Source organism: Homo sapiens, chromosome 12, assembly GCF_000001405.40.
Source record: "Homo sapiens chromosome 12, GRCh38.p14 Primary Assembly".
In the NCBI taxonomy this organism is placed as follows: Eukaryota; Metazoa; Chordata; class Mammalia; order Primates; family Hominidae; genus Homo; species Homo sapiens.
In genome coordinates, this window is record NC_000012.12 from 109,970,925 (window position 1) to 109,986,580 (window position 15,656).

A 15,656-nucleotide genomic window follows, 5' to 3' on the forward strand; every position below is an offset into this window, starting at 1 on the left:
GACCACAGGCATGCACCATCACACATGGCTAATTTATTATTTGTAGAGATGAGGTCTCACCATGCTGCCCAGGATAGTCTCAAACTCCTGGGCTCAAGTAGTCCTCCCGCCGTGGCCTCCCAAAGTGCTGGGATTACAGGCGTAAGCCACTATACCTGGCCTCCATTTGAATTTTAAAATCAGCATGTCTATGTCTAATAAAAAATCCTCAATTGAAGTAAATTTATACATTTATTAACTTGTGGAGAATTGACATGTTATTGAGTCTTCATATCCATAAGCACAGTACATCTCTCCACTTATTCAGGTCTTCATTGATTTCTTTCATCAGCAGTTTTTGGCATATAGATACTACATGTATTGTGTATTTCATTAGATTTATACCTAAGTATTTAATTTGGAGCTTTTTAATTTTTTTGAGACAGAGTCCCACTCTGTCGCTCAGGCTGGAGTGCAGTGGCAAGATCTCAGGCTCACTGCAACCTCTACCTCACAGGTTCAAGCGATTCTCCTAACTCAGCCTCCCGAATAGCTGGGACTACAGGCGCCCACCACCATGCCCAGCTAATTTTTGTATTTTTAGTAGAGACAGGGCTTCCCCATGTTAACCAGGCTGGTATCGAACTCGACCTCAGGTGACCCACCCCCTTCTGCCTCCCAAAGTGCTGGGATTATAGGTGTGAGCCACTGTGCCCAGCCAATTTGGAGCTTTTATTACTGGTATTGCTTTTCTAGATTCAGTTTCCAATTGCTCACTGCTAGTCTAAAGAAATGTGATGGATTTTTGGCAGGGTGCGGTGGCTCACACCTGTAATCCCAGCACTTTGGGAGGCCAAGGTGGGTGGATCACCTGAGGTCAGGAGTTCCAGAGCAGCCTGGCCAACATGGCGAAACCCTGTCTCTACTGAAAATACAAAAAATTAGCCAGGCATGGTGGGGGGCACCTGTAATCTCAGCTACATGGGAGGCTGAGGCAGGAGAATTGCTTGAACCCGGGAGGCGGAGGTTGCAGTGAGCCGAGATCACACCACTGCACTCCAGCCTGGGTGACAGAGCAAGACTATCTCAAAAAAAAGGGAAAAAAAAATATATATATATATATGGATTTTTGGCTGTTGACCTTGTATTCTTGCAATCTTGTTTAACTCAAGGTTCTGGAAACCTTTTTGTAGGTTCCTTGTGATTTTCTACATAGAAATCATCTCATTTGAATGGGGACAGTTTGATTTCTTCCTTTTCAATCTGTATGCCTTTTATTTATTTTTCTTGCCTCTTGGCACTGGTTAGGATTTCCAGTGTGATGTAGAAGAGAAATGGTAAGAGTGGACACCCTAGTCTTTCTCCCAATTTGAAAGCAAACACAGTCTTTCATCATTAAATAGATACTGTTTATCAGATCAAGGAAGTCTCATCTATTCCTAGTTTGCTAAGAGTTTTTTTAAAACATGAATGGATGTTGAAGTTTGTTGAATGCTTCTTCTGCATCAACTGATATGATTACATAGTTTTTCGTTTTTACTGTTAACTTGATAGATTACATTAACTGATTTTTTTTTTTTTTTGAGACACAGTCTCGCTCTGTCGCCCAGGCAGGTGAGCAATGGCGCAATCTCAGCTCACTGCAACCTCTGCTTCCCGGGTTCTAAGTGATTCTCCTGCCTCAGCCTCCCAAGTAGCTACATGCATGCACCACCATGCCCAGTTAATTTTGTATTTTTAGTAGAGACGGGGTTTCACCATGTTGGCCAGGCTGGTCTCAAACTCCCGACCTCAGGTGATCCACCCACCTTGGCCTCCCAAAGTGTTGGGATTACAGGCGTGAGCCACTGCACCTGGCCTGATTTTCAAATATTAAATCAGTCTTGCCTATCTGGAAATCCCACTTGGTTATGTTGCATTTTTCTCTATTTTTTTTTGAGACAGGGTCTCACTCTGTCACCCAGACTAGAGTACAGTGGTGCGAACACAGCTCACTGTAGCCTTGACCTCCTGGGCTCAAGCAATCCTCTCACCTCAGCCTCCAGAGTAACTGGGACTACAGGCACGTGCCATCAGGCTAGGCTGATTTTTTTGTTGTTGCAGTTTTGTAGATGGGGTCTTGCTATGTTGCCCAGGCTGGTCGCAAACTCTTGGCCTCAAACAATCCTCCTACTTCGGCCTTTCAAAGTGTTGTGATTACCACTGTGAGCCACTATGCCTGGTCTGTATTACTATTATTATTATTGTTATTATTAGAGATGGAGTCTGACTCTGTCACCCAGGCTGGAGTGCAGTTGCACAATCTCAGCTCACTGCAACCTCTGCCTCCCAGGTTTAAGCGATTTTCCTGCCTCAGCCTCCCAAGTAGCTGGGATAACAGGCGCCCACCATCATGCCCAGCTAATTTTTGTATTTTTAGTAGAGACGGAGTTTCACCATGTTGGCCAGGCTGGTCTCTAACTCCCCACCTCAAATGATCTATCTGCCTCAGCCTCCCAAAGTGCTGGGATTACAGGCATGAGCCATCGCGCCCGGTCTGCTTTGTATTTTTTTTTAATTATCCTTCCATGTCTGTGGGGTTTATAGTGACAACTCCATCTGTACACTCTCCTTTTTGTCAGTATTGCCAGACATTTATGAGTTTTACTAATCCTTCTGAAAAACCAGCTTTGGTTTCATTGATTTTTCGCTACTGTTTCCTTCTTTCAGTTTCATTGATTTTTCGCTACTGTTTCCTTCTTTCAGTTTCATTGATTTCTGCTCTTTACTATTTGCTGCCTTCTGTTTGGTTCAGGTTTATTTTGCTCTTTTTTTTTTTAAAGTTTCTTAAGGGAGGAGCTTATATTAATAATTTGAGGCTAGGCGCGGTGTCTCACGCCTGTAATCCCAGCACTTTGGGAGGCTGAGGCAGGCAGATCATTTGAGGTGGGGAGTTAGAGACCAGCCTGGCCAACATGGTAAAACTCCATCTCTACTAAAAATACAAAAATGTGCCAGGCATGGTGCTGCATGCCTATAATCCCAGTTCCTCAGGAGGCTGAGGCAGGAGAATCACTTGAACCTGGGAGGGGGAGGTTGCAGTGAGCCAAGATCACATCACTGCACTCCAGCCTGGGTGACAGAGCAAGACACCATCTCAAAAAATAATGATGAGAATGATTTGAGACCTTTCTTCTTTTCTAAGGTAAGAATTTAATACTATAAAGTTTCCTCTAAGCATTGCTTTGGCTGCATCCCAGAAATTCTGATATGCTGCATTTTCATTTTCATTCAGTGGAAAATATTTTTTCCCTTAAGACTTCCTCTTAGATCGATGGATTAGTTAGAAGTGTGTTGTTCAGGGCCGGGCACGGTGGCTCACACCTGTAATCTCAGCACTGTGGGAGGCTAAGGTGGGTGGATCACCTGAGGCCAGGAGTTGGAGACCAGCCTGGTCAACATGGTGAAACCCCATCTCTACTAAAAATACAAAAATTAGCTGGGTGTGGTAGCACGTGCCTGTAATCCCAGTACTAGGGAGGCTGAGACAGGAGAATTGCTTGAACCCAGGAGGCAGAGGTTGCAGCGAGCCAAGATTGCGCCACTGCACTCCAGCCTGGGCAACAGCGCGAGGCTCTGTTTCCAAAAAAAAGCAGCATGTTGTTCAACTTCCAAGCACTTGGGTATTCTCCAGTTTTATTTGTATTACCTATCTGTAGCTTAATACTATTATGGTCTGAAAATATACTTTATAGAATTTTAATTCTTTTAGATTAGCTAAGGTTTGTCTTATGACCCAGGATATGGTCTATCTGGGTGTATGTTCAATATGTACTTGAAAAGAATGTGTATTCTAATGTTGTCAGGTAGAAGAGTCTATAAACATCAACTAGATCTAGTTGGGTTTTGGTCTGGTTTAGTTCTATATCCTTACTGATTTTCTATCTACTAGTTCTATCTATTACTAAAAGATGAGTGTAGAGTCTCCAACAATAATTGTAGATTTGACCTTCTCTCCTTTTAGTTCTATCAAAGTTTGCTTCATGTATTTTGAAGGTCTGTTGCTGGATGTGTACACATTTAGAACTATTATGCCTTCTTGATGAATTGACTCATTTATGATAATATTATGTCCCTCTCTATCCGTGCTAATATTCCCTCCTCTGAAGTCTACTTTGTCTGATATTAATATAGCCACCCTAGCTTTCTTTTCCTGAGCCTTTACATGGTATATCTTTTTATACTTTTGGTTTTTAACTTATTACCTATATTGTTATATTTAAAATGGGTTTCTTGTAGACAGTATATATTAGGCCTTATGGTTTTTTGTTTATTTCTTGAGGCAGGGTCTTGCTCTGTTGCCCAGGCTGGAGAGCAGTGGCATGATCAGCACTCACTGCAGACTTGACCTCCTGAGCTCAAGTGATCCTCCCACCTCAGCCCCTCCTGAGTAGCTGAGACTATGGGCATGCACCACCATGCCTGGCTGCTTTCTATAAAATTTTTTGTAGTGAAAGGATCTTGCTCTGTTGCTTGGGCTGGTCTCAAACTCCTATGCTTAAGCGATTAGGAGAATTGCTTCAGGCTCCCTGAAGTGTTGGGATTACAGGTGTGAGCCATAGCTCCCAGCCCCTTTTGTTTTTTAATCCATTCTGAGAATCTCTGCTTTTCATTGATGTGTTTGGGTCATTAACATTTAATGTAACTATTGATATGTACGGACTTAAGTCTATAATGTTATTATTTATTTTCTATTTGGTCCTTAGTTTTTTGTTCTCCCCCTCCTCTTTTGAATATTTTGAATCAAAATATCTTTTGATGATTTGAGTAATTTTTAATACTCCATTTTCATTTACCTCTAGCATTTTTGATCACATATCTTTGTAGTCTTTTTTTTTTTTTTTTTTTAGATGGAGTCTCACTCTATCACCCAGGCTGGAGTGCAGTGGCATGATCTCGGCTCACTGCAACCTCTGCCTCCCGGGTTCAAGCAATTCTCCTGCCTCACCCTCCCAAGTAGCTAGGACTACAGGCACGTACCACCATGCCTAGCTAATTTTTGTATTTTTAGAAGAGACAGGGTTTCACCATGTTGGCCAGGATGGTCTCAATCTCTTGACCTCATGATCTGCCCACCTCAGCCTCCCAAAGTGCTGGGATTACAGGCACTACACCGTGCCTGGCTTGTAGTCTTCTTTCAGTGGTTATGGTAGAAATTACTATACACACACACACACACAAACACACACACACACAACTTTTCACAGTCTACTTAGAAATCCTATTTTACATTTCCAGTAGAAGGTAGAAATCTTACCATTATATTTTTTACCCTATCCCCTTTTATATTATAGTTGTCAAATATATTACACTGATATATGCTGAAAACCCTACTAGATAATTTTTTTTTTTTTTTTTTTGAGACGGAGTCTCACTCTGTCGCCCAGGTTGGAGTGCAGTGGTGCAATCTCAGCTCACTACAAGCTCCGCCTCCCGGGTTCACGCCATCCTCCTGCCTCAGCCTCCCGAGTAGCTGGGACTACAGGCGCCCACCACCACGCCCGGCTAATTTTTTGTATTTGTAGTAGAGACGGGGTTTCATCGTGTTAGCCAGGATGGTTTTGATCTCCTGACCTCGTGATCTGCCCACCTCGGCCTCCCAAAGTGCTGGGATTACGGGCGTGAGCCACCGCGCCTGGCGTTTTCTTTTCTTTTTTTTTTTTTTTGAGATGGAGTCTCCCTGTCGCCCAGGCAGGAGTGCAGTGGCACGATCTCGGCTCACTGTAACCTTTGCCTCCTAGGTTCAAGTGGTTCTCCTGCCTCAGCCTCCTGAGTAGCTGGGTTTACAGGCATGTACCACCATGCCCGGTTAATTTTTGTAGTTTTAGTAGAGACAGGGTTTCACCATGTTGGTCAGGCTGGTCTCAAACTCCTGATGTCAGGTGATCCGCCTGCCTCGGCCTGCCAAAGTGCTGGGATTACAGGCTTGAGCTACTGCACCTGGCTGACAATGTTACAGCTTTAAGATATGTATGACAATTTCAACTTTTTGTTTGTTTCTTGAGACAGGGTCTTACTCTGCCACATCTTTAACATTTCTGTTGTTTTTCTTTCATTCCTAAAGTTCCAAGATTCCCTCTGGCATCATTTCCCTTCCACCCAAAGAACTTTCTCTAGCATTTCTGTTAAAGTAAAGAATAATTCTTTTTTTTCCTGTTAGAATGTCCTTATTTTGCCTTCATTCCAAAGTTATTTTCATTGGATATAGAGTTCTGGGTTCACAGCTCTTTTCTTTTAGCACTTTAAAAGTATTGTTTCTACCATCACAAAGAAGATGAGAAAAAATAATAATAATAAAAAAGGAGCAGTGGCTCATGCCTGTAATCGGGAGGCCCAGGTGGGTGGATTACTTGAGCTCAGGAATTCAAGACCAGCCTGGGCAACATGGTGAAACCCCATCTCTACAAAAAATACAAAAGTTATCTGGGCACAGTGGCACACACCTGTAGTCCCAGCTACTGTGGATGCTGAGGTGGGAGGATCACTTGAGCTCAAGAGGTTGAGGTTTCAGTGAGTCGAGATCACGCCACTGCACTCCAGCCTAGGCGATGGAGTGAGACCCTGTCTCAAAATAATAATAATAATAAAAGTATTATTCTGGCTGGGTGAGGTGGCTCATGCCTGCAGTCCCAGCCCTTTGGGAAGCCGAGGTGGGCGGATCACGAGGTCGGGAGTTCGAGACCAACCTGGCCAACATGGTGAAACCCCATCTCTACTAAATATGCAAAAATTAGCCGGGCATGGTGGCAGGCACGTGTAATCCCAGCTACTCAGGAGGCTGAGGCAAGAGAATCGCTTGAACCTGGGAGGCGGAGGTTTCAGTGAGCCAAGATTGCACCACTGCACTCCAGCCTGGGCAACAGAGAGATACTCCATCTCAAACAAACAAAGTATTATTTCATTTCCTTCTCATCTCTATGGTTTCTGATAAGAAATCCACAATCATTCAAATCACTGTTTTTCTATATATGTTATGTGTCACTTTTTCCTGGCTGCTTTCAAGATGTTTTCTTCAACTTTAGTTTTCAACAGTTTGATTTTGATGTGTCTCAACTGTGGATTTGAGTTTATCTTCTTTGGAATTTTCTAAGTTTCTTGAATCTGTAAGTTTATGTCTTTCACCAAATTTAGAGGTTTTTTTTTTTTTTTTTTTTTTTTGAGACGGAGTTTCGCTCTGTTGCCCAGGTTGGAGTGCAGTGGCTCAATCTGGACTCACTGCAACCTCTACCTCCCAGGTTCAAGTGATTCTTGTGCCTCAGCTACCTGAGTAGCTGGGATTACAGGTGCGCACCAACATGCCCGGCTACTTTTTGTATCTTTAGTAGAGATGGGGTTTCACCATGTTGGCCAGGCTGGTCTCAAACTCCCAACCTCAAATGATCTGCCCGCCTCAGCCTCCCAAAGTGCTGGGATTACAGGTGTGAGCCATTGAGCCTGTCCCAAATTTAGAGGGTTTTTTTGGCCAATATTTCTTCAAATACGTTTTCTGCACACACCACTCTTTCTCATCTCTTATTGGGAATCCAACGACATAAATGTCAGACATTTTAGTATTTTCCCACAGGTCCCTGAGACTCTGTTCAGTCTTTTCTTCCTACTCTTTTTTCCTCTCTGTTGCTTAAACCAGATAATTTCTAGTGATCTGTTTTCAATTCATTGACTTTCTTTGTCATCTCTATTCTTCTATTAAGCCCATCCAGTAAGTTTTAAATTTTTAGTGTTTGTATTTTTCAGTTCTAATATTCCTATTTGGTTCTCTTCTGTATCTTCTATTTCTCTGATGGGACTTTCTATATTCCTGTTTGTTTCAAGAATGTTTGCTTTTACTTCTTATAGCATGGTCTTACTAGCTGCTTTAAAATCTTTGTCTGATAACGCCAACATTTGTGTCATCTTGGGGTTGGCATCTGTTGGCTGCCTTCCCTGGCAAGTACATGAGAATTACTCAGATGTCAAGTCATTATGGATGATATCCTAGACACTGTGAATGTTTTGTTATGAGACTCTGGGCCTTCTTTAAACTTTATGCAAAAATGTTCATATTTTTGTCTTAGCAGGCAACTGACCAGGTGAGGTTCTGCCTCCTGGGCAGATGGTGAGAGAATAGAGAGAAAAAGACAAGCAATCAGGATCCCCCCTCATCCCCTTGCTCAGAGATTTAGGAACCTGTGCTGCCACTGCTGCTGCTGCTATTGCAGCCACAGGCTTGCCTAGGGGCTGGATGGGAGAGATCAGAAAAAGGAAGGAGGAGGAGGAAAAAACCCCAGGGGAATCCCCTTCCTCTCTGTCCTGTAGAAGTCCCATTTCCTGCTCTTTAACCAGAAAAAGGCTTTTTTTTTTTTTTTTTTTTTGAGATGGAGTCTCATTCTGTCACCCAGGCTGGAGTGCAGTGGCGCAATCTTGGCTCACTGCAACCTCTGCCTCCTGGGTTCAAGCAATTCTGCCTCAGCCTCCCGAGTAGCTGGGACTATAGGCGCCTGCCACCATGCCCAGCTAATTTTTTTGTATTTTTAGTAGAGACAGGGTTTCACCATGTTGGCCAGGATGATCTGGATCTCCTGACCTCATGATCCGCCCACCTCAGCCTCCCAAAGTGCTGGGATTACAGGCGTGAGCCACCGCACCCCGCAGAAAAAGGCTTTTTTGCACTCATTATGTACCTCCAGGTTTCAGGCTGTCATTGAAGTCCTATCAGAAGTAAGACAAACAGGACACTCACCACCAGCTGATGACACTTTTGAGTTCCCTAATCTACCAACCAGGATTTACTTTTCAGAGTCTTTAGCTAGCTACTCCAAGCATTTGGTCCAGGTCTGTTAGTTCTATTTTGCAGGAGACACGGTGGGGTGTGCTTACTCCATCTCACCCAGAACTGAAACTATACCAGAGGCTCTTAACTCTATCATACAACCAGGATGGAGAATCACTGCATACATGTATGTGAATGTTGTACATCAGGGGTTGGCCAATATTTTCTTTAAAGGGCCAAATAGTAAATATTTTAGGCTTTGTGGCCATCTGGCCTGTTGCAACGACTTAACCTATTCAACTCTGCTGTTGTTATGTGAAAGCAGCCATACACAAGGTATAAATAATTGGGCGCGGCTTTCTTGCAATAAAACTTTATTCATTTATTTTTTAGAGAGTTGGGGGTCTTGCTTTGTCACTGCACCCAGGCTGGAGTGCAGTGGCACAATCATAGCTCACTGCCACCCTGAATTCCTGGGCTCAAGTCCCAGTCTCCCAAGTACGTGGGACTACAGGCGCACACCACCATGCCTGGCTGATTTTTTAAAAAACTTTTTTGTGGAGACGGAGTCTCACCCCTCTTGCCCAGGCTACTTTCGAATTCCTAGGTGCAAGCAGTCTTTCTGCCTCGGCCTCCCAAAGTGCTAGGATTACAGACATGACCCGTTGCACCCGGCAGAAGCTTTATTTATTTATTTATTTATTTTTATTTATTTATTTTGAGACAGAGTCTGACTCTGTCACCTAGGCTGAAGTGCAGTGGCACGATACAAAACTTTGTTTAATAAAACAAGTAACTGGCTAGATTTGGGCTACAAACCATGGTTTGCTGACCCCTGTTCCCTATCACAAATAGCCAAGTTGGCTTTGGCAAAGTTTACTTCTGGACTTTTTTTCCATTCCTTAAGAAGAATTTTTCAAATAACTACAAAGGTTATTGCTTTGCTCCTACATTCCTAGTCCCACCATGTTCAAGAACTGTGGTACCCATTCAATTTTGCTTTGATTATTCAGTCTGATTCTTGAAATAGTCATTTCTCTAGAGCTATTAAAAATGAAAAATCTAAGGAGTTTTGTCCAACTTTATATCTTTTACATGTAACTGACAATTCTGTAGTTATCCTTTCAAATTAAAAGCCATATGTATAGCTTTCTCAGTGATATGTTACAGCAGAGGAGGTAATAACAAATAGTGTCCCAACTTGTTTTTCTAGAACCTTCCCAACTGGAGATGTGAAACGGTCATTCTCCATCCACTCACCTGGTTTCCTGCCACAGAGATAGAAGGCTAGTCTGTCCGTTAGCTCATACTGTATTTCCACGAGGCGCTCTGCCAGCTCATGGTGCCCTCCTTGCCTACCAAGAGAAAACAAAGTACCATTTATATTGCTCACTATTCACTGACTTTAAAATGGAGTACAAAGACGTCTCCTGAGACACCTGAGCAGTTTATCACACAAGACTTTTGAGAATCATCAACCTTCTTGTGGTAGGTAGATTTCTGAAGTCTACTTTGCATCCCACTTTTATAAACTGTTTTCACCATCTGAACTATCGCCTTTCCTTTATTAAGGCCAAAATAGAATATTTAATAAGAAATTCAAAGACTTATGAGAGGGAAGGATACAGAATGACTTAATTTAATGAGGTAAAAAAATGAAATTAATCAATGGTTTACGGTAGAAGTTCTCAAAAATTAACTAGCGCATTTCTAGAAATATACCATGTGCAGGCCCCACCCTTGGAAATTCTGAATCAATGGGGACAGGATGGGGCCAGGGGCCAATATGTTGAAGAAGGTCCTTCCCCTAGGTGATGCTGATGCAGCCAGTCTGACTCTGGATAAGAGTCTAGTAACCACTTCAAAGGCTTCAAATCAGTGAGAGACACGCCAACCTAACGCACAGCTCACGCCTGCAGCTACTTCTGCCTCCTTATCTTCAATTTGCACAACAGAAAATATTAAGTTTACCTTTCAACATCCATGAAATAAATACTTAGGCTGCTTAGAATCCTTTCAGCAACAAGGATACAAATTATATTGAGATTATTATATGCAAGGTACAAGTGCGAAAATTCCAAGGTAAGTGATAATAAGTATCATTTACCCAGGGCTCTCGTCCAAGATCAAGTATATTTTGTGGTTTTTGTCCTTAAAAGTAATGGCAAAAACTGCAATTACTTTTGCACCAACCTGATAGTTTCAGCCAGCTTCTCTCCCCACCATTCAAGGCACTCACAACACCCTTCAACCTACCACACAGCTTTGATTTGTGAGAGGCACATCTTATTTTCATTTTTTAGTATCTGTGAAATCAGGAAATGTCCTACAATTGATGATACACCATAATTTAATTGGCTGAACTCTTTTCTTTTTTAGTGCTCTGTGAAATAATGAAGCACCATGCAATACTGTACTCCTGCTGTTATTCCCAGACCCACTCTGTTCTTTCCAGTCAGGTCTCCTGCTGTGCTGAACACACTTTGTCCCTCCCTGCCTCCTGATCTTGACTCCTGCCTTTCCTCTTACCTGGAATGCTTCAGCTCTCCCTTCACACATTCAAATCCAACCCATTCTTCAAGACCAGCTGAAGAAATTTCTTAAATGATTTGGACCACAATGAAGAAACCCTATATATGCTTTTTAAGACCAATTATCTATTTTGGCAATGAATCCCATATGGTCTTGCCTCCTTGAACTCTTTCAGGCATTTATGAATCATCTTTTCCAAGAGAGTAAATTCTGGGAAGGCAGAGTTTTGTTATTCACCCATTTTATCCTCTGTGGAACAGAGTATTGTGCTTCACAGTTAATAAAAGTACTTTGGAAAAAGAAGGAAAGATGACTGATCTTTGGCCATTTAAATGATATTCAAGACTAACCTATAGATTTATTTTTCAAGGACTTTATTAATAAAGAAAAATTTAAATAATTTTACAGTGAGCACTTTTTTTTTTTTTTTTTTTTGAGACAGAGTCTTGCCCTGTTACCCAGATTGGAGTGCAGTGGCATGGTCTCGGCTCACAGCAACCTCTGCCTCCCAGGTTTAAGTGATTCTCCTGCCTCAGCCTCCCGGGTAGCGGGATTACAGGTGCCTGCCACCATGCCCAGCCAATTTTTTTTTTTGTATTTTTAGTAGAGACAGGGTTTCAGCATGCTGGCCAGGCTGATCTCGAACTTCTGGCCTCAAGTAACCCACCCGCCTTGGACCCTCAAAGTGCTGGGATTACAGGTGTGAGCCACCATGCCTGGCCTAGAGTGAGCACTTAGATGTCTACTACCCAAACCTTACAATTAACTTTTTACTATACTTGTTTAATCACATATCTATGTATATATTTGCTTTTAAGTTCAAGAAATAACTAAGAGTATTAAAAAACAGAAGAGTACATTCTGTAATTCTTGATACTTGATTTGGAATCTGACTACAGCTCAAACATCACTGTGTTATAAAGGATCAAGTAAAAGACTGGAAGCTTAGCACACTGGTTCATGATTCTAGCCTTCCTCAACTTTGCCAGGCTGAGCTTATATGCATTTGAAATGTCTTCATCTGTAAAATAAAATAACGTACATCTTTAAAGGGGTTCAATATCAACATATACAACTTAGCTACTTAACAAGGAATCACACCCAACAAAAAAATCCCAGAGAGAAGTAGCGAGAATCTAGGTCTCTTACCTTGCATAATCAACGGGAGTTTTCCCACTAGAATCCTGTGTGCCTGGGTCTGCTCCATATACTGCCAATAATTCAGCCTGTAAAATCTGCCCTGCTTTGGAGGCAACATGGAGTGGGGTGTTTCCTTTTTCCTAAGAATCATTAATAAAAAGTAGGCAAAAGAGCACATTAAATAAAGGCTACATGAACACAACTCACTTAGTTTCAATATCTGAAGCAATTCATGTTTTCTTACAGGATGAAAGAAGTTGGCTTGTGCTCCTAAAGATAACAGTCTCAAACAGGTTTCAAGATTCCCTGTTCTCACGCTCGAATGGAGTTGCTGAAAAACGCAGAAACAAAAAAGGAATCGTGGTTAGAGGTGTAAAGAATGATGTCCTAGGGCAGCTGATAGACCATTTTAATATATGTTACATCAGTAACGCATAATCTTTATTTGTCTCGGTAAAGTGCATGGACCAGTCTCTCCTTTGCCAGTCACAACTGTCCCTGGGCTGTAAGGTGGAGTGAGGCCACTTTACTGATAAGGAAACTAGGGCTGTGAAGGCTGACTTGCCCAAATGCATGACTTATCTAAGAAGTGGCACAACCAGAACCTGAGTGAGAGGCAGGACTGTGTGAAGAGGTGACTATGCGTGGCTCTGACATACGACAGACCTGAATTTCAAACTATACCCACTTCAAGCTGTGTGGCCTGGAGAAAGGGCTTTAAGCAATCTGAACCTCACTTTCCTCATCTCAAAAATGTCAACAATGGCCAGATGCAGTGGCTCATGCCTGTAATCCCAGCACTTTGGGGGGCTGAGGTTGGAGGATCACTTGAGCCCAGGGGTTTGAGACCAGCCTGGGCCACATAGCAAGACTCTGGCTCTACAAAAAATACAAAAATTAGTTGGGTGTGGTGGCATGCGCACCTGTAGTCCCAGCTACTAAGGAGGCTGAGGTGGGAAGATCACCTGAGCCTGGGCAGTGGAGGCTGCAGTGAGCTGTGATCATGCCACTGCACTCCAGCCTTGGTGACAGAGCGAGACCCTGTCTCAAAAAAAATAAAAAATAAAAAAAATTTTAAAAGGTGGCATTTTTCTTTTTAGAAAGGGTCTCGCTTGCTCTGTCATCCAGGCTGGAGTGCAGTGGAGTGATCATGGCTCACTGCAGCCTCAGTATCCTGGGCTCAAGCAATCCTTCCACCTCAGCCTCCCAAACAGCTGGGACTACAGGCGCCGGCCACCATGCCCTGCTAACTTTTTATTTTTCAATACAGATGAGGTCTCACTATGTTGCCCAGGCTGATCTCGAACTTACGAGCTGAAGTGATCCTCCCACCTCGGCCTCCCAAAGTGTTGGGATTACAGGCATGAGCTACCGTGCCTGGCCCTATTCACAGGGTTATTATAAGGATTTAGTGATATAATAAAGTGCTCAAAGAATACAAATGCTATAATAACAGTTATTATTATTAGTTGTTACTGTAATTAGGGCTTTAGGACTTCAAATTCTACACTGTGTAAGCTACAGGATCCTGCCTTATACAATACCCTCTCTACCACATTATTCTTGGCCTGTATAATATGCTTTAATAAAGTCTTTCAGGGTAGGAAAAGGCCCGTGATATACCGAATTCTGTACTACTGCAGAAAAGCTCTTATACAGTCAGAAGATGAGCTGCCTTCCTTCAAATCTAACCTAGAATTGTCCAAGATGCAGTAACCCTTATCACAGGAATGAAGAAATCTACTCTAACATCTAAGTTTAATTTTTTAAATAGTTTTTTTGTTTTTTAAACACAGGGTCTCGTTATGTTGCCCAGGCAGGACTGAACTCCTTGGCTCAAGCAACCCTTCCACCTCAGCCTCCCAAGTAGCTAGTATTACAGGGATGTGCCACTGTGCCTAATTTTTTAAAACTCTGGCAAGGAAAAAAAAACAAAAAACAAAAAACCCAACACATACCAAGTCTTATTAATCAATGGAAGTAGCTAGTATATGCATTTCTATGCAAAATTTCAAATTCTGAATTCTTCAGCCAGATTCTGCTGGGGATTAAAAAAGGGGGGGGAAAAAAGGCCAGATGTGGTGGCTCACGCCTGTAATCCCAGCACTTTGGGAGGCCAAGGCAGGCAGACTGCTTAAGCCCAAGAATTTGAGACCAGTATGGACAACATGGTGAAACCCCATCTCTCCAAAAAGTCAAAAACTGGCCAGGCGCGGTGGCTCATGCCTGTAATCCCAGTACTTTGGGAGGCCGAGGCAGGCAGATCACTTGAGGTCAGGAGTTCAAGACCAGCCTGGCCAACATGGTGAAACCCTGTCTCTACTAAAAATACAAAAAAAATTAGCCGGGCATGGTGGTGGGCACCTGTAATCCAAGCTACTCAGGAGGCTGAGGCGGGTGAATCGCTTAAACCCAGGAGGTGGAAGTTGCAGTGAGCCGAGATCGTGCCACTGCACTCCAGCCTGGGTAACAGAGACTCTATCTAAAAAAAACAAAAACAAAACACACACACACACACACTAGCCAGGCTTGGTGGCACATGCCTGAGATCTCAGCCACTTGAGAGGCTGAGGTGGGAGAATCATTTGAGACTAGGGAGGTTGAGGGTGCAGTCAGCCATGATTGTGCCACGACACTCCAGCCTGGGCAACAGAGTGAGACTCTGTCGTTTAGGCTGGAGTGCCGTGGCATGATCTCAGCTCACTGCAACCTTCGTCTCCCCAGTTCAAGAGATTCACAGCTGAATTCTACCAGACATACAAAGAAGAACATCCTACTAAAATTATTCCAAACAATCAAAGAGGAGAGACTCCTCCTTAACTCATTCTGTGAAGCCAACATCAGCCTGATACCAAAATCTGGCAAAGACACAACAAAAAAGGAAAACTTCAGGCCAAAATCCATGATGAACACAGATTTTTTAAAAAACTCTTAACAAAATATTAGCAAACCAAATCCAGTAGCACATCAAAAGTTAATCCACCATGGCTGGGCGCAGTGGCTCAGGCCTGTAGTCCCGGCACTTTGGGAAGCTGAAACAGGCGGATCATGAGGTTAGGAGTTCGAGACCAGCCTGGCCAACGTGGTGAAACCCCGTCTCTACTAAAGATACAAAAAATGGCCGGGCGTGGTGGCTTACGCCTGTAATCCCAGCACTTTGGGAGGCCGAGGTGGGCGGATCACGAGGTCAGGAAATCGGGACCATCCTGGTTAACAC

At 43.0% G+C, this 15,656-nt stretch overlaps 1 protein-coding gene and 1 long non-coding RNA gene across 24 annotated transcripts in view; one reads left to right on the plus strand and one right to left on the minus strand.

The window, feature by feature from the left end:
- Positions 1–15,656, minus strand: part of GIT2 (GIT ArfGAP 2) — a 70,361-nt gene that overhangs the window by 41,121 nt on the left and 13,584 nt on the right. For all 23 annotated transcript variants that reach the window (XM_047429924.1, XM_047429926.1, XM_047429925.1 and 20 more), the window contains exons 5-7: positions 12,684–12,770; positions 12,449–12,579; positions 10,028–10,122 (exon numbers count right to left, since the gene is read on the minus strand). In XM_047429924.1, the coding sequence (XP_047285880.1) occupies positions 10,028–10,122; positions 12,449–12,579; positions 12,684–12,770 (313 nt within the window). The remainder of the gene's footprint in view (positions 1–10,027; positions 10,123–12,448; positions 12,580–12,683; positions 12,771–15,656) is intronic.
- LOC124903013 (uncharacterized) lies at positions 2,513–11,602 on the plus strand. The gene is made up of 3 exons (XR_007063456.1): positions 2,513–3,163; positions 9,981–10,255; positions 11,147–11,602. It is a non-coding gene; the product is annotated as an uncharacterized LOC124903013 (long non-coding RNA).